The sequence below is a fragment of the Homo sapiens genome, chromosome 1, assembly GCF_000001405.40.
Source record: "Homo sapiens chromosome 1, GRCh38.p14 Primary Assembly".
NCBI classification, from domain to species: Eukaryota; Metazoa; Chordata; class Mammalia; order Primates; family Hominidae; genus Homo; species Homo sapiens.
Genome location: NC_000001.11, coordinates 91855624 through 91879215, shown reverse-complemented (window position 1 = coordinate 91879215; position 23592 = coordinate 91855624). Strand labels below are relative to the sequence as shown.

Genomic DNA, 23592 nt, shown 5'->3' with positions numbered 1-23592 from the left:
CTCACTGCAACCTCTGCCTCCTGGGTTCAAGCGATTATTGTGCCTCAGCCTCCCAAGTAACTGGGATTACAGGCGGGGGCCACCACATCTGGCTAATTTTTGTATTTTTAGTAGAGACAGGGTTTTGCCATGTTGTCCAGGCTGGTCTCGAACTTCTGGCCTCAAGTGATCTTTCCCCCTCAGCCTCCCAAAGTGCAGGGATTACAGGCGTGAGCCACCATGCCCGCAAGCCCACTTTAATGTTAAACTGTTGCCAAGATAATTTAGAATTAAGTCTGAAATGTTAGCTCTATCTTTACTTAAAAAATGGTTATAAAGAAGCGTATACTTTCTGGACATTGGACTCCTAGTGAAGGGGGCCTTTGGAGTTGGGTGTTGTTTGCAGGAGGACGAAACACCTGCTTTTCTGTCCTTCCAGGCACATAATTCATTTCTCTGGTATATGCCGAAGGTCAGGTTTTTTGTGTAAAATTGCTGATGGATCATTTGTAAAAACACATTTAAGTTGATTAGTCCTTGAAAAATGATCTTTAGAAAATGATCTTTACAGATACTAGTCCTTGAGCTTTCCTGTGGATCAGATTGCCTTGGGCGAAGGTCTGCAGTTTCACAAGCATGACTCACTACCTTTTATAGGTGAGAACATCAAATGGGCCAGGTGGAGGGTCTAGTAGAACTCTGGATTTCTTTTTAAATTTGTATCATACTATTTTGCTAATGGAAACTTGATGAATACTTAATTCCATCTGGCAAGTGAAAAGGGTCCCTTTTGGGAGTATTCGTTTTGTTAGCATTTTTAGTGATTTATTGTTTTGACAGTGTGATATTGGTCCTTGGATGCAAAAATACTCTGGAGACTATTTGGAAATTTCATTTTATAATTAACTAACTGTGTGATAATTGCTGGAGCAGAATGTGTGTTTTTTTTTTTTTTCTTTTCATTCTGGAAGGTTATTTGAGGTGAAAAACTTAGATTCTAATCACAAAGGCTTGTGTTCATGTGGTACCCTGAGTACTTTTGTAAGATACTCACTGTGTTGCTGTGAGTTATCTCTTTTATGGTTTTTTCTTTAAAACAAAACTCTTCTGAGTCTCCATAAAGAATAAGTATCTCATTTTGTTATATTAGATTTTGTGCAGTTGGCTGGCAAATTAAATTTAACTTTGAGGGAAAGCACCATTGACTCATTACATACATTTTGCATCATTGCAGCGTAAGGTCTTCCCTATGTGTGTGGGAGAAGTTTCTGATCTAAATGGGCATGTTTCCTATTGCTGGTCTATCTTTTAGCCAAAGCATTTCTGAATAGACATTCCTATTCATTTTCTTATTTTCGAGACTTTAGAGAGATTGCTACTTGTTATGTATTCGTGATAAATCATCTGAATCCTGAAAAAAATACTTATGCCAACAGCCCATTTTGTAAAGACACTTGTCTTTGAGCTTTTAAGCTGTCATACTCATTATTCGTTACAATAGCTGTACAGCCATTGGATGTATCATGTTTTTGACACAGGAGCTAGGGGAAGGATGACCTACTTGTTGCATTTCACATTTTTCCATATTTATATCTTTTTTCAATTTGTGGCATCTTTATTTCATTGTTAGAGTGGTTGTTCTCTAAGACGTTCCAGGTTTTAATTTCATTCACTGTGTGGGCTAAATAAGGAGCTTTCCTGTAGAACCAATTCTACTAAATTCCTGAAAATGTCAGTTAAAAATTAGCCAGGCATGGTGGTGTGTGCCTGTAGTCCCAGCTTCTCAGGAGGCTGAGGCAGGAGGATGGCTTGAGCCAGGAGGTCGAGGCTGCAGTGAGTCATGATCATACCACTGCACTCCAGCCTGGGTGACAGAGTGAGACCTTGTCCCTACCCCCACCACACACACAAAAAAAGAAAATATGAAGAAAAAAGAAAATGCTTCCAAAAAGTATCCCATCTAGATACCATGCTGGTTAGGGCTTTTGGTCATGTTTGAATGGGACATAGCTGAACACAGAGCAGGATTTCAATGGGTAGGCTAGGAAAAGGAGAGGAGTGTCTAATTTGTTGGGAGAAAATCCACTTTTGCATAATAATAGGGGATTTACGTGTTTTCTTTGGAGTTAATATGTATTTCAAGTAGGTAGATAGGTAAGAGGTTTGCAAAAAAATTTTGCTAAGGTTGAGGTTCTGTAGTTGGCAACTCTTATAACCCTGAAGATCCTGTTCTCTAAAGCCAGGAAAAAGCAGTCTGTTTCCAATTATGTATCACAAAAAATAGTGAAATTAAGCCAAGAAAAATGATCATTTGGGAGTTGGGTTGCTTTTTTTTTTGCAGAGGGTAAAGGAGAAAGGACTGTAGACACACATTTTAAAGAATCTGCTAGTTTTTCTGTTGGCTTTCAGATTTTTCTCAAATGCTCTGTATTGGAAATTAAGAATAATTTTAGGATTAAAGGCCTTTTCCTCCTTCGGCTTCTTTTTGTTTCTCAGAGAGCAAATAGAAGAGCATTTAGGCAGTTTTTGCTGACATGAAAGGGTTTGGGTCCAGTGTTCCGGGACCCAGCTTGTGTTTTTGGTAAAGCCTTTTCCTGCCTGAATGGTCCCAGGTTATGGGCTCACAGCATCATACCTGGTAGTGGTGCTATGGTTTTTGTTATATGAATTTTTTTACCATGCTTTGAACTGAAATGTAGTCCCTGCTGCCTAGCATTATTCTGCTGGAGGAGAAAACTAGGGATGTTAGTGTGGGAAAGGTATGGAGGTGCGAAGCCTAGCATTTGGATGATGTGTGGGTGAATATATTGTCCTCAGCACTTGTCAGAAGCAACTAGCCTTTCGGGATGCCTACTGCTAGTTTCAGGATTAGTGGTCCTGTGAGACCTAGGTGTTAACTAAGAAATCTCCTTTCCACTGCCAGAAGATCAGCCCCGGCAGGTCTTAGTTCCTGTTTCTCACACCTTACACCTCCACAGAGTGTTGAATAAGACTTTCCTGATGCTGCATAATCTTTGATAACTCTTAGTCTTGTCACTGAGGCTAATGTGTTTTAGCTCTTGGTGCTTTTCTTCTCACCTCCCATTTACTCTTCTGCCTGCTGCTGGCTCCCACGCCCACCACACCCCCACCACACCCCCATGAGGTGCTAGAAGAGGTGTGAAGTACGGAGTGCAAAGTTGCATTTGCTGCTTTACTATCCTTTTTCCCCCATTTTTTTTCTTGGTTTCCCTGAAACGAGTTCTCCTGGTTTTCCTCTTATGTTCCGGATGTCTCTTCAGTCTTCCATTTTGTTTCTTTTTCTTTCTTTTTTTTTTTTTTTTTTTGAGACGGAGTCTCACTCTGTTGCCCAGGCTGGAGTGCATTGGCACGACGTTGGCTCACTGCAGTCTCCGCCTCCTGGGTTCAAGCAATTCTCCTCCCTCAGCTGCACACTCCCACCCCCCCCCCCCGCCCGAGTAGCTGGGATTACAGGTGTGCGCCACCATGCCCAGCTAATTTTTCTATTTTTAGTAGAGACAAGGTTTTGCCATGTTGGCCAGGCTGGTCTTGAACTCCTGACCTCAGGTGATCTGCCTGCCTCAGCCTCCCAAAATGCTGGGAATATAGACGTGAGCCACAGTGCCCAGCCCAGTCTTCCTTTTCAATGCTTGATCCCTATGGGTTGACATTTTCCAAGGTTGCATTTTCCTTTCCTCCTCTCCTCTCCCCTCTTCTTTTCTTTTTCTTGTCTTTTCAGTCTACATTGAGTTGCTCATATTTCTGTGCTTCAATATCAGCAGCTCCCTGTTTTTTCACACCCATATTTCCAACAGCCTATCGGACAGTGCCATCTGGTTGTTCTGTAGATTTTTCTGTTACAGTCCAAAAGCCACCATATTACTTCTCTGTGGTCCACAGCCTCCACAGTGTCACCTTCTGTATTTCCCATGTCCCTCCTTCTCTATGGGGGTTCCTGCTTACTCTTCCAGGCTCTCACTGCTGCCAGCTCCTCCAGTGGGGCTTCATGTGGCTCCTCCTGGCAGGTGCTTCTCTTGCTGCCTCGTGAGAATGTTGTTTTTCCTTCGGCAGATTCCCCAGAGCAGGATTGAGTCTTACCATCTTGGTATTCTAGGTGTGTAGCATGGGCCTGGTTTATAGATATATTGTCAAATGGAATTCTTCATTTCAGCCCACTTCAGTTATGGCTTTGGGGAAAGATCAGGCTTACAGTTGATATAAATTATAGCTATAGAAAAGACACAGAAAATCAACTCAGAATCATAGAGTTTAGGGTTACAGTGGGGCTTAGAATAATCTTCCTTAAGTTTCTCTAAAGATGAGAACAACCAGAGAGCAGTGTTTCTCTTCTTGCCCCTCTGCAGCCTAGTTCCCACCCAATAGCCAGAATGATTGTGATAAAACCTAAGTCAGATTCCTTCATTCCCTTGCTTAAAACACTCTAGGCTGGGCGCAGTGGCTCACGCCTGTAATCCCAGCACTTTGGGAGGCTGAGGCAGGCGGATCACAAAGTCAGGAGTTTGAGACCAGCCTGGCCAGCATGGTGAAACCCCGTCTCTACTAAAAAAAAAATTAGCCTGGCATGGTGGTGGGCGCCTGTAATCCCAGCTACTCGGGAGGCTAAGGCAGGAGAATCGCTTGAACCCAGGAGACGGAGGTTGCAGTGAGCTGAGATTGCACCACTGCACTCCAGTCTGGTGACAGAGTGACCAAAAAACCAAAAAACCACTCTACTGTTTATTCTTGTCTTTCTCAGAATAAAAGCCAGAATTCTTACAGTGATCTGCAAAGCCCTGCCCAACCAGCCCACCACTCTTATGCTGGTGACCCAGTTGACTTCCCTCTTGTGCTCTCTAGGCTGCTCAATCTGCTCCAGCTGCCGCACCTGACTGTTGGTCCCTGAGCACGCCAGATACGCTCTGTCTCAGGGCCTTTGCATGTGCTGTTTCCTTTGCTTGGAATGTTTTTCCCCAAATAGCTACAGAATTCGCTTCTGTTAGGTCCTTACTCAAAACAGACAAACCAAACCAAAACCCCACACACATACTTTGTCTCTCCCTTTTCTGCTTTGTTTTCTTAGCATTGGTCTCTATATAATATATAATTATGTATCTTGTTTATAGTCTGTCTCCTTTAGCTAGAATGAAAGCTCCATCAGGGCAGGGATTTTTATGTTTTGTTCTCTGTTGAATACCCACACCTGGAACAGTCCTGGCATGAAGCAGGCACTTGATAAACATTATTAAATGAATAAGAAGCATTTTATGGATTTCTTTTTTTTTTTTTTGTGGCAGGGTCTCACTCTGTCACCCAGGCTAGAGTGCAGTGGCACAATCTTGGCTCACTGCAACCTCTGCCTCCCGGGTTCAAGCCATTCTCCTGCCTCATCCTCCCAAGTAGCTGGGATTACAGGCACATGCCATCAGGCCCAGCCAATTTTTTTTGTATTTTTGGTAGAGACGGAGTTTCACCATGTTGGCCAGCCTGGTCTTGAATTTCTGATCTCAAGTGATCCACCCGCCTTGGCCTCCCAAAGTGCTGGGATTACAGGCGTTAGCCACAGCGCTCAGCCCATTTTATGGATTTCTTATAGCCCCAGTTATAGGTGCACTCAGGGCATTAAAAAGGGAAAATTGGGCCAGGCGTGTTGGCTCAGGCCTATAATCCCAACACTTTTGGAGGCCGAGGACAGGAGTCTCGAGGACTCCTGTCACTTGAGGACAGGAGTTTGAGAGCAGCCTGGCCAACATGGTAAAGCCCCATCTTTACTAAAAAAAAATACAAAAATTAGCTGGGCGTGGTGGCAGGCACCTGTAATCCCAGCTACTTGGGAGGCAGAGGCAGGAGAATTGCTTAAACCTGGGAGGGAGAGGTTGCAGTGATCTGAGATAGTGCCACTGCACTACAGCCTGGGAAACAGTGAGACTCCATCTCAAAAAAAAAAAAAAAAAAAAGAAGGGAAAATTGGCCAGGTGTGATGGCTTACCCCTATAATCCCAGTGCTTTAGGAGGCTGAGGCAGGAGGATTATATGAGGCAAAGAATTCAAGATTAGCCTGGATAACATAGTGAGACCCCATCTCCATAAAAAAATCTTAAAAAGTCAGCTGGGTGTGGTGGGGCACACCTGTAGTCCCTGCTTAAAGGGACTGTAGTTGAGGTGGGAGAATAGCTTGAGCCAAGGAGTTCGAGGCTGCAGTGAGCTATGATCATGCCACTGCACACCAGCCTGAGTGACAGAGTGAAACCCTATCCCCCCCTCCCACCACCCCGTCAAAAAAAGGGAAAACCATCAATCTCGGGGAAGGAGAATCTGATTTTTAAAAAGCCTCATTTAAGACTCGTTGGACTAGAACACTGACCTCGTTTTCATGTCTGACTCAAAGCAGCACCTGTGGGTCCCCCCATCCTTACAAGTGGTTTGGGAAGACTCCCATTTTACCTCTAACAGGCATGGGCTTGCTGCGGTTTCTCTCTGCCTGTGGTTTGCCCTTTAACCCAGCAGGCTACAAAGATGAAAAGCAAACACAACGTTAAAGAAAAGAGCTAGGGAAGAGGGCAGGGGGAAACAGGGCAGAATTTCCTTGCAGCCCTGACATCTTGCCTTGTTTCTGTGCCCATCCCCTTGTCTGGTTACACAGTCCCTTCCAGAGCTGCCTTGCTTGGGGGCTGTGCTCAGTCTTGAGACTTTTAGGCCAGATGACTCTTGAGTTTTGCTTTGATGTTGTAATTTCTTTGAAGAGAAATCTTAATTTTAGGCAAAAAGGACATTGGAGAACGGATTCTTTAAAATTAAATTACCATCTTTCGAAGTGAAGTTTTAACCCTTCTCAAGATAAGGGGTTGTCCCTGAAATTTCTGCTTGCTTCTGCTGATGATGCTAGTGGGAAGTCAGGATTGGCAGGACCCCATCTTGTGAAACCAATACCGTAAATCCTCAGGGCAATAAATTCAGCTCTGAAGAAGTGTCAGACTCTTATGGGTAGGGATTATGTGGAATGAAGTACATAATTTGTATTAGTGTAATAGTAAAGTTAGAGGAATTTGCCTCCTGCTCTTATTGAGATAACATCGGCATGGTTCCTACAGGGATAGGAAGCCCAGCCAAGAAAGGCAAAGGCTTAGGAGGAAGCTATTGGCCATGTACAAAGCCTGCAGTGTCATTCACCCTGGGATTCAAAGGTATCACATTGAAAATAAATTGTCTAGAATGGAGCTGAGTTATCAGTGAGTAGTTAAAAATAATCAAAGCTACCATTTCCTGAATTCTAACAACATACTAGGAAGTAAGTGCTTTATTTATTAATTTAGTTAGTCATCATAACAATCCCATGAAGGAGGTAGAATCATTATCTCTACTTTATAGATCAGGCATGGAGCTTTAAGTAAGTTGCCCAAAATTATATTGCTTAGAAAAGGCAGGTGGGGGATTTGAACTCAGGTAGGCTATGGGGGCCCCGCACTTTCCACTATGCTGTACTGTAGTCTGCTTCTAGGACAAACCAAGCATGCTCTTACCTCAGGACCTTTGCACTCACTATTCCCACTGCCTGGGAGGTTTTTCCTTTAGATATTGTCATAGCTTTATCTCTTACCTCTGTGCTTAAATGTTACCTTGTCTGGGAGGCCCTCTCTGACCACCCTGTCTAAAATAGCATCCCTCCTGTCATCACTCTCTCTCCTTAACCTGCTTTATTTTCCTTTCCTAGGTCTTCTCATGCCTTGACATATTATTTATTTGTTGTCTTGTCTGTCCCCACCTTTAGAAGGTAACCTATGTGAAAACAGGAGTGTGTTTAATTTGCTGCTATGTGCCCACCTCCCTGAACAGTGCCCAGGACAGGGTAGGCGCTAATAAATGTTTGTTGAGTGAATGAATGAAGTAAACTAAAACTGCTGATCAAGGCCTGCCACCCTGGTTTCAGAACAAAATAATTTGTCCCTTGTGCCAGATCTCATCAGACTACCCACCACCAGAAAGTGAGTGTCCATGCAGGGCCTGGTTGATGTCTACAGTGGCTTAGTAATAGGCACAGTCCCTATCTTTTTTTTGAAAGTCAGCTGTTTCTGGAGGATCTCTTGTTTGTAGTAGTTAAGAGCATGGGCGTGGAATTAGACAGACCTAGGTTTAAGTCCTGGTGCCAGGATTTATAAGCTGGTGACTTGGGGTTGCTTAGCATCTTTTTTTTTTTTTTGGTGACAGAGCAGAGTCCCACTCTGTTGCCCAGGCTGGAGTGCAGTGGTGCCATTGTAGCTCACTTGCAGCCTTGAACTTCTGGGCTCAAGTGATCCCCCTGCCTCAGCCTTCCAAGTAGCTAGGACTATTGGCATGCGCCACCATGCCTGGCTAATATTTGTGTTTGTATTTATTTATTTATTTATTTTCAGAAACTCCTGATATTCAAATTATTTTTATTTTTTCTATGTTTCCCAGGCTGGTCATGAACTCCTGGCTTCAAGGGAGCCTTTGGCCTCTGCCTCCCAAAGTGCTGGGATTATAGGTGTGAACCACTGTACCCAGCCTTACTTAGCATCTTGAAGCCTCACCTTTCTCACTACAAAATGGAGTAAAGGGCATCTGTCTCCTTGTATTGTTGAGAAGATTAAATGGGAAATTGTGATATACATGATAGGTGTTCAGTAGATGATAACAGACATTTTGTGGGTTCAGAAGAAAGCAGAGATGTCAGCTTCTGACAGGAAGGGGAATAAGGTATAGACACTTGATCAACCACAGAATAATTACAAAGCAGCATGTGGACAAGTCTTGGCTTTGTAACTAAGTAGCTGTGTAAAGCTGGGCCAGTCGTTGAGCCTTTCTAATTTTTGGTTTGCTAATCTGTAAAATTAAAGGGTCGGAGTAGATACTACCTGTTCTAGCATTCCAAATTGGCTCTGACTAGAAGATAACATGGAACAAATTATACACAAAATGATAAGTGACAGAATGTTCACAGTAGGATGGGATTAATCAGAAGTCTCTTTTGGAATGAGGTGAGGACTATTGGTAGAGTTCTTGGACTTTGAGGAATAGCATAAAGATGGCAGATTGTGATAAAATGGTTAGATCTGACAAAATTCAGGTTTTTTGTGTGCTTACATTGTTGGGAAGATACTGCATTTAAATAATTTTTGTTTACGTAAGTTATATATTAAAATAGCTAATGTAGTATTAATATTCTGTTTATTCTTATGTTGCCAAGTTGAATATTTTTCTTGGATAACACTTTTCTGTTTTGTGAAGTTATTCCTGCTAGCCTTTACATAATTATGCATTTCAGATTTCCACAAGTGTGTTTGAAGTCTCATTTTCTAGAAGGGATTCAGGATTATTAGTCCATGTAATGACAATTATAGTATGATATAGAATAAAAGATTTTCTTGTTTAATTTCTTCATATTAGAAATGAGGGAAGTAGGATGCAGAAGGTCTGAGCTGGTAAAACATGCTGATGGTCGCACTCCTGCCTCCTTTTCCTTTGAGGATGCCTGAGGTTCTTATACATAACTCTTGTTATTGAGAAATGTTCTAATTTATCATCCTGCTGTACTATTTTTTCTTTTTTCTTTTGTTTGAGACGGAGTCTCGCTCTGTTGCCTAGGCTGGAATGCAGTGGCGTGATCTCAGCTCACTGTAACCTCTGCCTGCCGAGTTCAAGCGGTTCTCCTGCCTCAGCCTCCCGAGTAGCTGAGATTACAGGCATGTGCCACTACACCTGGCTAATTCTGTATTTCTTGTAGAGATGTGATTTCACCATGTTGGCCAGGTTGGTCTGGAACTCCTGACCTCAAGTGATCTGCCCACCTTGGCCTACCAAAGTGCTGTGATTACAGGTGTGAGCTACCACTCCCGGCCTGTACTATTTTTATTGTAGTGTGCACAGTAGTATTTATACCTGTAGTCCACTGTGGTACCCTCATTAGATGCCCGCTGTCAGCCAAGTGTAGGTAGACTGTGATCCGCCTTGCTGGAATTAAGACAGTGGGAAAGCCATACTTGGAAGGAAATAATTACATAATAATTACAACCTGAAGGGTTGTACTGCGTTCTAGGTGTCCAAGTTTAACTTGGTCCAAGGGAATCAGAGGAGGCTTCCTTCAAGAAGTAAGGCTTTTGCTGAGACCTGAAGATGTTAGAAAGTGACCATCCTAGGGACCATGGAGGGATGTTGAGTTCCGATATAGTGAACATCACTTTTGGAAGGTGAGGACTTGGCCCTTTTGTGGGACTGAATTGACACTAGTGTGGCTGGAGTGTGCAGAAGATGAGCTTGGACTAACTAGACGATGGTTGGTGGCCATGTGAAGTTTTGCTGTTTATCTGGACGGCAGTGGGCAACCATTGAAGAGTTTTAATTCTTAGTGTTTCACATGCCTGGGCTCTAAACCACCACACCTGGTGCACTTTTAAATTTTTTGTAGAGACAGCGTTTCACTATGTTGTCCAGGCTATCAAAAGCTTTTTTCAATGGCCAGGTGCTTGCTAGGGCCTGAGGGAGGATGACTGTTGTCCTGAGAATATTCTGATATGCTGAATTTTGCTCGAATAATTACAGCTTTATGATTTAAACCTTTTTGATGACAGCTGATTCCTCATTCTAGGTAGCTTGGTTGGTTTGGTGGCAGTGCCAGACCAAGTTCCACAGCCCCCAGCTGAACCCCTGCAGCTAATTGGGAATCATCAAATAGAATCGAGAAGGGCCCTGCAGCCAGATCCCTGTAACTTATACCAGAAATGTTGAGGCAATGGCTTCACCACCATTTGGACAGTTTTGCTACATTATGAGTATCTTTAGAACCCATACCTTGTATGGAATTTGGAATCATTTTTTTGTGATGGAGGGAATTTTTGAAATTCTAGATGATAAAGTCTAATCTCAAAAATAATACAAAATTTGCTATAAACAACTATTTCTGTTGCCTTGCTACTAGTAGTTTGCTTATTTTCTTTTTGGAAGTCTAGGTATATTTTAACCATAAAAATACCAATGACTATTATTTATTTAAAATAGACAGTGTGGGGCCGAGCACAGTGGTTCACACCTGTAATCCCAGCACATTGTGAGGCTGAGGTGGGTTGATCACCTGAGGTCAGGAGCTCGAGACCAGCTGGGCCAACATGGCGAAACCCTGTCTCTACTAAAAATACAAAAATTAGCCAGGCGTGGTGGCACATGCCTGTAATCCTGGCTATTTGGGAGGCTGAGACAAGAGAATTGCTTGAACCCAAAGGCAGAGGTTGCAGTGAGCTGACATCGTGCCACTGCACTCCAGCCTGGGTGGCAGAGTGAGACTCCATCTCAAAAAAGAAAGAATAAAATAAAATAGACTGTGTGGGCCAGGTATTGTTTTAGGTACCATGCCTATATTCTGTCTTATATTATAATCAAAATATTGCTACCATTTTACAGATGAGGGCGTGGTAGGGGCTAAATGACTTTTCCAATGTAACACAGCTGGGTAAGCCAGGTTTTGAACCCCCAAATACAGTTCTTTATTAATTCTAGCTTAAAAGCAGACACCCTTATAAATGAAAAGGTACAGAAACCTTTGGATGCAAAAATCTTAAATGTGAAAAGGTGGTTCTTAGAGTATTGCAAGGGTGGGTGAAAAAGCCATCCTAGTTTGTGAGTTTGAATAAAACATGGTCTTTTCCAACTTTGTGAAATGTGTCAACACCCACCCTCCCTTTTTCCTGTATTTTCCTTGGGAGTGAGGTGTGTTGTGCTTGGGATAGATGGAAGGGCTCTTAAGGACGGACTGAAGTTCGGCCCCAAGGAAACCAAGGCTGCTGGGGCCAGATTTGTTGATCATGCTCCCAGCCAGGAATGAGGGTGGGCCTGCTCTGGAGGGACAGCCCACCTTGCCTCTGAAGGCAGCCGGCACAGAACAGGCAGAGTGGAGTCAGGCTTCTCTGCTCTCCTCGTACCATCTGTGCGTACTGCTTCCCCCGTGCCTACCAGTACAGGTGGTTCCAGAGTAATCTTCCTCCTTTCTTTTCCTGCCACTGGCAGCCACAGAATGTTGGGACTAATTAATCTGATACCTCAGGATAATAAATCTCTTTGGTAGAAACAGCTTGCTAATGATAAATGATAGTTTTAATACTATACATGCACAATCTCATTTGATTCTTGCAACAACTCTGTGATGTAGCTAAGTTTTGTCTGTTACACTCTTTACAAAGGAGGAAACTGAGGCTCCATTCTGATCTAAACCTCCATCCTTTCTTGTCTGACATGCTGTGAGAATCTCAACTGATTGTCCAGGCAGTCTGGCCTCCCTTCAGTCTGTTCTCTGTACAGCGTGAGGGAAATCTTTAGTAATCCCATCTGATCACGCTATTCCCTGTTTAAACCCCTCCTTGAACTTATTCCTCTTCTCTTTCCCTTTCAGCTCTGCAGCTCTCCTCCCTCCTGTAATGCTTCCTCTGCCTGCAGTGTCATTCATCACCTGACTTTTAAAATCTTCGCTTATCCTCAGGTTGCGTATACTTTTCCTTTAGAGCTCTGATTATATCGTGTAGTTACATGTTTGTGATTATTGTCTGTTTATCTCACCAGCTTTTAAGCCCACAAGGGCAAAAAACATGTCTCCTTGGCCACTGCTTAGCAGAGTAAGCAATAAAGATTTGTTGAAAGGAGAAACTCAGGAAATTAAATGTCTTGTGAGAAGTAGTAAATGATATTTTTACTCGGATATAAGCTCCCTGAGGGCAGGATTTTTGGCGTCTTTTTTTCATTGCTATATCCCTGGCATCTTGAACAGTGCCTGGCATATAGCAGTAATATTTATTGAATATCAGTTGTGCTTGGATGTGATTCCGAAGATTTCTTATCCAAATCTAGGACTTTTTCTCTCATTGTGCCAAATCTATCTGAAGATGGGGATTAGTTTAGTTCTGATTCTGAATCAACTCATGGATGTAGCCAGGCCATGTTAGCCATCTAAGGGGAAGCTACTAATTTTTTCTTACTGGTTTTTAGCCTATTGCCAGACATCCATTTTGCCACAGTTTTTCTCTTAGATAGAGCAAGATTTCTCTCCTCACCTTAGGGAATATTGTACCCAACCAGATCCTTTTGAATATTGGTTTAGAACGTGATGGTTTTGAGGATTCATTTGGATGGGATTTTTTCAGCTAATCTTGGTCTTTACCTGTGCACTCTGTTGGGTCATGAGGGCATGTGGGGCAGTATGCTCAGTTTAATGGACTCAGAAATAAACCCAGGGGATCTCTGAAATTAGCAGAATTAGCAGCACATTTGTTTGCTTTTTTTTTAAACCCATTAAGTTCTAAGAATTTTCTTTTTTTTTTTTTTTTTGGGAGACGTAGTCTCGCTCTGTCACCCAGGCTGGAGTGCAGTGGCGCGATCTCAGCTCACTGCAAGCTCCGCCTCCTGGGTTCACGCCATTCTTCTGTCTCAGCCTCCCGAGTAGCTGGGACTACAGGTGCCTGCCACCGCGCCCGGCTAATTTTTTGTATTTTAAGTAGAAACGGGGTTTCACCATGTTAGCCAAGATGGTCTCGATCTCCTGACCTCGTGATCCACCCGCCTCGGCCTCCCAAAGTGCTGGGATTACAGGCGTGAGCCACCGCGCCCGGCCAAGTTCTCAGAATTTTCTTATGTTCATTGATGAATACTAAGTGTTCTTCAGTTCATCAAAGTTCACCTACCTTTTAAATGGAACATGTTGCTTTGAAATGTGGGGAAAATGACTATTATTCCAAATTGCTCTTTCATGATCTCAGAGTACCCTATTTATATTTCTACTTTTTTTTTAAATAAATACTTTAAGTTCTAGGGTACATGTGCACAATGTGCAGGTTTGTTACATAGGTATACATTAGGTATACATGTGCCATGTTGGTTTGCTGAAACCATTAACTCATCATTTACATTAGGTATTTCTACTTTTTTTTTTTTTTTAAGTGAAAGCAAGTTTATTAAGAAAGTAAAGGAATAAAGGAATGGCTACTCCATAGACAGAACCTATATTTCTTTCTTTCTTTTTTTCTTTTTTTTTTTTTTTTTGAGATGGAGTCTCACTCTGTTGTCCAGGCTGGAGTGCAGTGGCATAATCTCGGCTCATTGCAATTTCCCTCTCCTGGGTTCAAGTGATTCTCCTGCCTCAGCCTCCCGAGTAGCTGGGATTACAGGCACGTACCACCACGCCTGGCTAACTTTTGTATTTTTGGTTGAGCTGGAGTTTCGCCAGGTTGGCCAGGCTGGTCTTGAACTCCTGACCTCAGGTGTTCTGCCCAGCTCGGCCTCCCAAAGTGCTGGGATTACAGGCATGAGCCACTGTGCCCAGCCAGAACCCATATTTCTAAAGAAAGCATTTAGTTCATAAAGTCCAGAGATTCTTTGAGGTCAAAAAGTCAGGATTGGGAGTCCCTGATGTTTGCAGTCAGTGTGGTAGAACCTCACAGAAGAAAGAGGAGTTTGTATTTCGTTAGTTTTATCAAAGCTACAACTTTTCGGAAGCCTTCAGTCCATCCAGCATTCCAGGGAACTGATTCCTAAGTCGGGTGTTAAGGCACTGAGGTGTACAAGTTGTGGCCAAAACTGGAGTTCAGCTGAATGAGAATGACACACTTCCCTTTTGCTTCTCCTCTGCCTTGGGAATCTTTCACCACACTGGGGAGATTAGACAAAAACCTTCTGCAGTTTATTTTCTTTTTGAACAGTTACATTATGGAGAGACTTTTAAGCTAAAAGAAGAAAAGCTCCCTTTTTGTTACAAACAGCAGTGTGTAGTTTCAACTTGTCCAGGACTTCCTCAGAGATGTTTTAAGATCCGGTGTAAACTTGCTGTGGTTTGCCTTTGGGCATCAAACTGTTTAGCTTGGCTCTATTATATCTGTAATTGCTGCATTTTAATAATTGCCCAATATTCTTGTCAGCAATTTGCAGCCTATATTTTTAATGGAACCATTTGCCTTTCTTTTCCACAGGTTTGTTCAGACCTGGCTTAAGCCCCTGGATTAACGCAGCACAGACCCTCAGACCCACTGCAGCTGTGGGCAGGGTGACGCAAGCTCATTAAATATTCCCACAAGCCTCGTGCCGCTTACAGTTTATGTGCTTCATAAAATCCTCTGGGAAGTCATCTTCTTCTGAGATCTCCTTACAGGGATTTGCTTTATAAAAGTTGTCTTTAACATTTGCTGAAATAGCATATTGTTTCAGAGAGGTTTTTCCTTATCAAAATTATTATATAGGCAGGAGGCACTATAGTTCTTGTGAACCAATTCACTAATTTAGGGAATCTAATATTTCGAAGGGAAAAAAATAGAGACAGATCCTCTTTGTGGTGGTTGAATTTTTAAGTTAACGGAGAAGATTTCCATATGATCAGAGTTGATGTGGAATTATGGTGACAGAAATGTTCGACTTAGAGGGATAATAAGTCAGTTTAATGGCTCCCAAATTATCTCTATAATTTAGTCAGCTTTTGAGACAAGACCGTTGTGTCATTGATGACTTATGCCTCAACTTGACTGGTAATTTTGTTCTTTTAGTGAGTCCACTCTTTAGCTTATCTCCTTTTGACTGTTGTAATGTTTATTTTTCAGTAAACAAAAGATTGAACTGGATTTACAGTAGCTAAGAATTACATAAATAGCTATATCTTAATTTCTCCACTTTATTGGTATAAATAGCTCAAAGAGAATGGACAAGTAGTGATACAGTACAGTAATTGTAGCTAACATTTATTTGGTTGGTTGTTACGTGCTAGGGACTGTTCTAAGCATTGTGTATGTATATTAACTAACTGAATCCTCACAACAGCCTACCATACATTTCCTACCACAGGATATGTTCATTCAAGAAGAGTAAGCTGCCTAACATTACCATTTGGTAAGGGGCAGAGTGGATTCACACCCAGGCAGATTTTTAATCTTTATCATAATCCGTATGCTATTCATACTAGGATTTTAATCACTATCGTATATCAAGATTGAACCATAGTGGCCTCCTGCCTATATAATAATTTAGTTTCAAGACATATCTAAGAAATTCTTTTTGAAATTGGAACTTTACTGTTATTATTTCTGGATAGGTAATACTTGCACATGGTATTAATACAAAACCCAGAAGGGAATTCAGTGAAAAGCTTCTGCTCCCTCCCACCCCTGTCCTGCAGTCACCCTATTTCCCCCGTTCTCATAGGTAAAGTTACAATTGCAAAGAGCCATTTTAAATATCTCTCTTTGTCACTTGATGCAATAAATTAAGACCATTTAATTAAAAACTCATTTAAAATAATTTTTTTTGTACTGTTATCTACAAGCGCCCACATTGGCTTTGTCTCTGAAGGTAGCTATGGGCAACTCCTGTTGCGTGATATTTCCTGAGTGAGGATGACAAGGCCACAACCCCCAGGTGTGTGAGATGGCTCCCGGAAATGCCACCATTCTGCCTTTTCCAGGGCTTAGATCAGGGAGGGTCTTTGCACTTTTACCCATAACTTTTATTCTTGATGAGAAGGAACCATGCCTGGAGCATAGTAAATGCTCAGTACATGTTTGTTAATTGAACTTCTGTGAGTTGTGCCAGGCTCAGGGATAGAGGGCTGGAGAAATATACTTTGGAGTGTCTAAATCAGTGACCATTAGGGCCGTGTGAGGAATATTCAAGTTAGGCAAACCACCACAAAACTCTCATTGAAGACTCTGGATAGGAAAAGCTTAGAAAGAACCTTCTAGATCCTTGAGTCCAGTAACCAGATAGTCTCAGATGGGCTGAGAGACAGGGAAGACTTTTTTCCTGTTAAAATGTTGGCAAACAGTTGAAATAAGAACCTTGCCTTTTTATGTTTCTTTATTTTTTTCAGATTGATTCCTAGCACAACTTAATTTGATCCTTGTGATAACCCTGTTATTATAACATTAGATTGAGTCTCTAATCAGTGCTGGTTTTGTTTTCTTGCTGGCACTAGGGTTGCATGTATCAAGTGTCATTGATTACTTTGGTACCACAACTTAACTGGTGGTGTTATATTTCAGGTGCACCTTGATTTTCTTCTGTAGTTCTGAAAATTCTCTATAAAACCAAAGATTTAAAATGTCAAAAACAGGGCCGGGCGTGGTGGCTCACGCCTGTAATCCCAGCACTTTGGGAGGCTGAGGTGGGCAGATCACGAGGTCAGGAGTTCAAGACCAGCCTGGCCAACATGGTGAAACCCCATCTCTACTAAAAATACAAAAATTAGCCAGGCGTAGTGGCGCATGTCTGTAATCCCAGCTACTTGGGAGGCTGAGGCAGGAGAATCGCTTGAACCCAGGAGGCGGAGGTTGCAGTGAGCCAAGACTGCGCCACTGTGCTCCAGCTTGGCGACAGAGAGAGACTCTATCTCAAAAAAAAAAAAAAAAAGCCAATAACAAATATGTCATTTGCAAAAGTATTTGCTATAAAAATCTTTATTAGATAGTCACTGCCCTCAGTCTAGTTTGCTTGAGTGCTATTTTGCATCTTTTAAGATAAATTTCTTACATTACGCTTTTCAGAAATTCTCTGTTTAATTTTAGTGTCTGTTTGTTTATGAAGTTTCTTCATTAAGTTTTCTTATTGAAATTTGTTTTACAGGCAGTTTGAAAATTGCAAGGAGGGACTTTAAGACTACTTCTGATTTGCAAAGATTGTCTGTGCTCTGAGCAGGCTGAAGTGACTGGACGAGACGCACTGTTGGAGAAATAAAAATGACTTCCCATTATGTGATTGCCATCTTTGCCCTGATGAGCTCCTGTTTAGCCACTGCAGGTAAGTTGCATAATATAAATTGCATATTTGTTATATATTTTTGGATATATTTTGTCCCAGTCTCTTTAGTTGAGATGAAGTTTCACTCTGTTACCCAGGCTGGAGTGCAGAGGCATAATCATGGCTTACTGTAGGCTCTACCTCCTGGGCTTAAGCGATCCTCCCACCTCAGCCTCCTAACTAGTTGGGACTACAGGCGTGTGCCACCATGCCCAGCTAATGTTTTATTTTTTGTAGAGATAGGGTTTCCTATGTTGCTCAGGCTGGTTTCAAACTCCTGACCTCAAGTGATCCTCTCTTCTTGGCCTCCTAGCATGCTGGTATTACAGGTATGTGCCACTGTGCCTGACCTGTATTTACATTTTTGTCCCTGAATAAGGATTTCAAGAAAGCATTTTTGTCCTTTATTAGCAAATAAATAGATCTTCTAGATTGAGGTGACACTCTTGACATAGGCTGCTTGGGAGGTATTTAGTTTTGCCTATTTCACATATTTCAATATGTAACCTTTTTTTTTTTTTTTTTTTTTTTTTTTTGTGGAGACAGAGTCTTGCTCTGTCACCCAGGCTGGAGTGCAATGGCCTGATCTCGGCTCACTGCAACCTCCTCCTCTTGGGTTCAAGCAATTCTCGTGCCTCAGCCTCCCAAGTAGCTGGGACTGCAGATGCCTGCCACTACACGTGGATAATATTTGTATTTTTAATAGAGACAGGGTTTCACCATTTTGGCCATGCTGGTCTTGAACTCCTGACCTCAGGTGATCCGCCTACCTTGGTCTCCCAAAGTGCTGGGATTACTAACTTTTTAAAAAGTAGAGAAATACACTGAGCTTCCTGGAGGCCAAATGAGATTGGAGATGAAAAGATGCAAATGACTTGGAACATTGTTGCTTAACTAAGAGTATCGGATCTCCCACACCACCATCTTAGTGTGTTTACTGTGAGGGGTTACTTAGTAAATTTGGAAGCTTAATTTGCTCTATTTTATTATAATTTCCATTGTGTCTATTCTGTAATGAGCTACATAAAACTAATTTGTTGGACCAGTTCTGGAAACTGGCAGGTCTCAGCAAGAAAAGCATTGACTCGAAAAGTGATTAGCTGCTTGGTTTTGGCTGTTGAATTGCACATACAGATGAGAGTGATAGTAATGATCATCTATTGAGTGGGCACTATATCCAGGCACTGGGCTAAACAATTAAAGAATATAAAAATGAATAAGGATATTCTTATTTAATGAGCTCACTTAATCACAACTTGGAGGTAGAATTAATTTGGCATTTTATAAATGATGAAATGAGATATGGAGAGATTAGGTAACTTGCGTAGTGTCATGTAGCTGGAAAGTGGAAGAGCCAGATTTTACATTCAGATTTTACATCTATGCTCTTCACCTCTGTGTTATACTGAAGAAACCAGATCTCCCTTAAGACTCCAATAGACTCAGATCTGGGGTTGTGTGCAGACGTAGACTAAGCGAGAGTCAGCTGGCAGAAACTGGTTTATGGATTGGAAAGTAGAATGTTCCTCTCATTGCAAGTATCTTTTTTTTTTTTTTTTTTTGAGATGGAGTCTCCCTCTGTTGCCCAGGCTGGAGTGCACTGGTGTGATCTCGGCTCACTGCAACCTCTGTCTCCTGGGTTCAAGCGATTCTCCTGCCTCAGCCTTCCGAGTAGCTGGGACTACAGGCGTGTGCCACCATGCCTGGCTAATTTTTTGTATTTTTAGTAGAGACAAGGTTTCACCATGTTAGCCAGGCTGGTCTCGATCTCCTGGCCTCAGCCTCCCAAAGTGCTGGGATTACAGGCGTGAGCCACTTCCCCTGGCTATAAATATCTTGAAAGAAAGTTGCTAGGCCTTTTTTGTTGTTGTTGTTTTTTGAATGCCAGTTTATGAATTTCAACTGCCCATTCTCTATTTTTGTCTATCAGCAGTTTCATTTTGTCTCATTATTGAAGTGCTATTTGCCTTTTAGCCTGTGTATTAAAATGGAATTGACTTAAAATCTCATCGAAAAGTAGTAGAAATGCACCCCCCCACCCCCACCTCCCAAAAAAAAAGAGAGAGAGAAAGAGGGAGAGAAGCGGCTTGATGGAAAACATGCTGTTTTGATGACAAGATGTCTAGTCTCACCTTGTGGGTTTGAGGCTGGGCTTTCTGCCTTCATTGATGCCTGGGTCAGACTGAAAAACACAACTGAAGAAGGCACTTTATGGGAAAGGAGTGAGTTCAATGGCCCTGTCCAGCCTTGATGAATTTGATAGTGAATCAGTTTTGCTTCAGATCTTCCTTTCCTATTTGAAGCCTTTGGGAAAATATACACACAAGTATATATATATTTGAGTTGAATACACACTCAAGGCTTTGCTGAGGTGGAAGGGACAGTAGAGTTACAGATTTTTTTTTTTTTTTTGATACAGAGTCTCGCTCTGTGTGTCACCCAGGCTGGAGTGCAGTGGTGCCATCTCGGCTCACTGCAACCTCTGCCTCCTGGTTCAAGCGATTCTCCTGCCTCAGCCTCCTGAGTAGCTGGGATTACAGGCATGCACCACCATATCCAGCTAATTTTTGTATTTTTGGTAGAGATGGGGTTTTGTCATGTTGGCCAGGCTGGTCTCGAACTCCTGACCTCAAGTGATCCACCCCCTTCAGCCTCTGAAAACGCTGGGATTACAGGTGTGAGCCACCACCGCTGGATGAATTACAGATTTTATAATAGCATGAGGCAACTGATAAATAGCACAGAGGTATGGATGCCTTTTTGGTGTAGAAGTTTGTTGGTTGTTTCCCTTTTGCACAACATAATAGATCAAATGAATGAAGAAGAGGGAAATTTTGTTTTTTTTTTTTTTTTTTTTTTTGAGACAGAGTCTCACTCGCCCCGGCTACAGTGCAGTGGCACAATCTTGGCTCATTGTAACCTCCATCTCCTGGGTTCAAGCAATTCTCCTGCCTCAACCTCCCGAGTAGATGGGAGTACAGGCACACGCTGCCACGCCCAGCTAATTTTTTGTATTTTAGTAGAGATGGGGTTTCATCGTGTTGCCCAGGCTGGTCGTGAACTCCTGAGCTCAGGCAATCCGCCTGCCTCGGCCTCCCAAAGTGCTGGGATTACAGGTGTGAGCCACTGTGCCTGGCTGCAAAAAAAATTTTTTATATGCTAATATCTGATATTTTTCTCTGTAGGCCCAGCATACTTTACAAAATGGTTTTTTGGGCATTCTGGATGAGCTGAATTTAGCTCATCTGGGTAGTTATAACAATGATGAATATTTCAAATAATTACTGTGTGTCAGGCCCCAAATTTCTTTACATGTATTATCTCATTTCATCCTCATAAATACTCTAAGAAATATAGATACTTTAATAATCCATAGTTTATAAGTGAGGAAATGGAAGCACAGAGAGGTCAAATAACTTTCTTAAGGTCACACAGCTAATAAATGGCAGGTGGAACTATAAACCTACTTAGTCCAGGTCTGGAGATTGAGCCTTTAGGCCTCTCTACTATATTGATTTGAAGGAAATCATTTGTTTGGAAAGAATGGTAATAGGTTTTGAGCCATTTATGTCCTCCTGAAACATTAAATCATTTATTCACTGATCCCTGCTGAGTACAAAGCACAGTAGTAGTCACTTAGGGATATACATGCAAAGAAATGTAAGATTCGTTCCCACCCTATTTTTTTTATTTTTGGAGAGATGGGATCTTGCTGTGTTGTCCAGGTTGACCTTGAACTCTTGACCTCAAGTGATCCTCCCACCTCAGCCTCTCAAAGCACTGGGATTAAAGGCGTGAGCCACTGTGCCCAGCCATATTCATCCCTTCTTTTGAGTTGCTTGTACTTTATTTAGGCTTATAAAATATAACCATATAACCAAATAATGAATGTGTAGTGAAAGCCAAGTAAAACCCAAAGACCTCAGAGGGGTCACGAGGGGAAGCCCTGTGGGTCAGAGTAGCCAGGGACAGCTATGTGGAAGCTCTAGATCTTGAACTCTGTCTTGAAGACTGGGCAGAATCTAGGAAGAAGGAGGCACTGAGTTCACCAGGTGGGAAAACCTGGCCTAGCACGGAATGTGGCATTTAGGTGCTTAATTTTTTTTTTTTTTTAAATAAATGGATGACCTGGAGAGCTGGTGTGGAAATGTAGCAGGAGGTCTATTTGGAAAGAAGGATGGAGTAGATTATGAAAGTTCTTAAATATCATAATGAGGCTTGTGGATTTTATTCTGTGGTTTGGATGCTCTCTTCTTCCATCCCTTGGAGCCAAAGGCATGCACTGTTTAATCTTGGAATTCAAACGGTGGCCTCAAACAGTGAGGCTGAGTATGTGGCCTCATTAGCTTCAGACCCAGCAGTGCTTGGCTCACAGGCTGTCATTTATCAAGGGCTTGATCTCTGCCAGCTAATTTATTTAAGACAACTCTATGAGATGGGTATTATTATTATCATCACCTCCATTTTACAAACAAGGAAATTGAGACTCAGTTTGGTTAATAATTTGTACAAAGTCCTGGAACTAATAAGTGGCAGAGTTGAGACTTGAACCTGGCAGTTTGGCTCTAGAATCCAGCCCATCAACCACTAGATCCTTCTCTAGGGAGGAGACCCTGTGTGTGGGATGAATAAACCTCTTCTTGATTGATTAAATACCAGGTGAGTAGCTACCAGTGTGACATCCTGGAACCAGATTAAGCCCCTTTGGCCTCAGAAGAGACAGACACAGGTCATCAGAGCAGAAGGACCCTCAAGTAGTGGGCCTTCTTTATTCATATTCTGACTTAACCAAAGTGGCCTTAAAGCTGTAAATCGGTGGGAAGGTGTGGAGGTCTGGCAGCAGAGGGGTGAAGGTTGTCAAAGGCCTCCTTTTGGTTATGTGGCCAGAGGAGGGGCAGAGCACAAGGGAGCACGTAAATTGAGCCCAAGTTAGAATAATAGGAGCCTGCTTGTTCCAGCTCCATAGGTTTGTCTGGGCCTTCAGTGAAAACCTTTCTTTCCTTCTCTGCTTGTGATAGAGAGTGAATGAAGGCAGTCGGGGCCGGGTGGGTCGGGGGATATCCATGTCCCAGTGTTAGTGTTGTTCTGACAAAACTCATGCTTTCGGCTGGGCGTGGTGGCTCACGCCTGTAATCCCAGCACTTTGGGAGGCCGAGGCGGGCAGATTACGAGGTCAGGAGATTGAGACCATCCTGGCTAACACGGTGAAACCCCGTCTCTACTAAAAGTACAAAAACAAAATTAGCCACGCGCGGTGGCGGACGCCTGTAGTCCCAGCTACTGGGGAGGCTGAGGCAGAAGAATGGTGTGAACCCGGGAGGCGGAGCTTGCAGTGAGCTGAGATCGCGCCACTGCACTCCAGCCTGGGCGACAGAGCCAAACTCCGTCTCAAAAAACAAAAAACTCATGCTTTCCCTCCCCTCCCTCGTTCCTTCGTTATCATATAGCACTGTTGAGGATGGAGGGTGGACTGTGCTCTTGGTGAACACGAGCTGTGTAAGGACCATAATGCCTCTTGATTAGAAATTAGCTTAGGTGATTTACTTGGGTTAAAAAAAAAAGAGAGAGAATAAATACAAGAGATTTATTGGGGTTAAAAACAAAAAAGAAAAAAAAAGAAATTATCTAAGGTTATTTATTGGCCTCTTAGATCCTGTAAGCTACCTAATGTAAGAAAAGTGGGAAGTTTAAAAAATAAGTGCTTGATACTATGGGCTTAAGTCTAAGTTTTGCTTTAAAAACTCGTCTATACTTGTGTTATAACATTACTATTATTGAAAATATCTGCTTTCCAGGCTGAAGTGATTCATTTATTATTCTAGTTCTGCTTTCCTCCTTTGTAATTTG

At 42.4% G+C, this 23592-nt stretch overlaps 1 protein-coding gene across 11 annotated transcripts in view, besides 3 other annotated features; it reads left to right on the top strand.

The window, feature by feature from the left end:
• The window catches only part of TGFBR3 (transforming growth factor beta receptor 3), a 225660-nt gene that overhangs the window by 26787 nt on the left and 175281 nt on the right, over window positions 1-23592 (top strand). For 7 of the 11 annotated variants that reach the window (NR_036634.2, NM_001195684.1, XM_047429247.1 and 4 more), the window contains one exon: window positions 17572-17745. Coding sequence is in view for 10 of the 11 variants with exons in the window: in NM_001195684.1 (NP_001182613.1) it covers window positions 17685-17745 (61 nt within the window). In the remaining variant the exon portion in view is untranslated. Of the gene's footprint in view, window positions 1-12066; window positions 12461-15997; window positions 16369-17571; window positions 17746-23592 lie in introns of those variants that run through there. The other 4 variants (XM_047429271.1, XM_047429255.1, XM_047429261.1 and 1 more) reach the window with 4 other exon arrangements.
• Window positions 6621-6690: an enhancer, noted in NCBI's record as "active region_1310". NCBI's record gives its function as "activates an Ori minimal core promoter by ATAC-STARR-seq in GM12878 lymphoblastoid cells {active_cell/tissue: GM12878}" and the evidence as "EXISTENCE:reporter gene assay evidence [ECO:0000049][PMID:35858748]".
• Window positions 9799-10298: an enhancer, noted in NCBI's record as "H3K4me1 hESC enhancer chr1:92334475-92334974 (GRCh37/hg19 assembly coordinates)". NCBI's record gives its function as "activates a minimal SCP1, AML or CMV promoter by ChIP-STARR-seq in primed H9 embryonic stem cells {active_cell/tissue: H9 hESC(primed)}" and the evidence as "EXISTENCE:reporter gene assay evidence [ECO:0000049][PMID:30033119]".
• Window positions 10299-10800: an enhancer, noted in NCBI's record as "H3K4me1 hESC enhancer chr1:92333973-92334474 (GRCh37/hg19 assembly coordinates)". NCBI's record gives its function as "activates a minimal SCP1, AML or CMV promoter by ChIP-STARR-seq in primed H9 embryonic stem cells {active_cell/tissue: H9 hESC(primed)}" and the evidence as "EXISTENCE:reporter gene assay evidence [ECO:0000049][PMID:30033119]".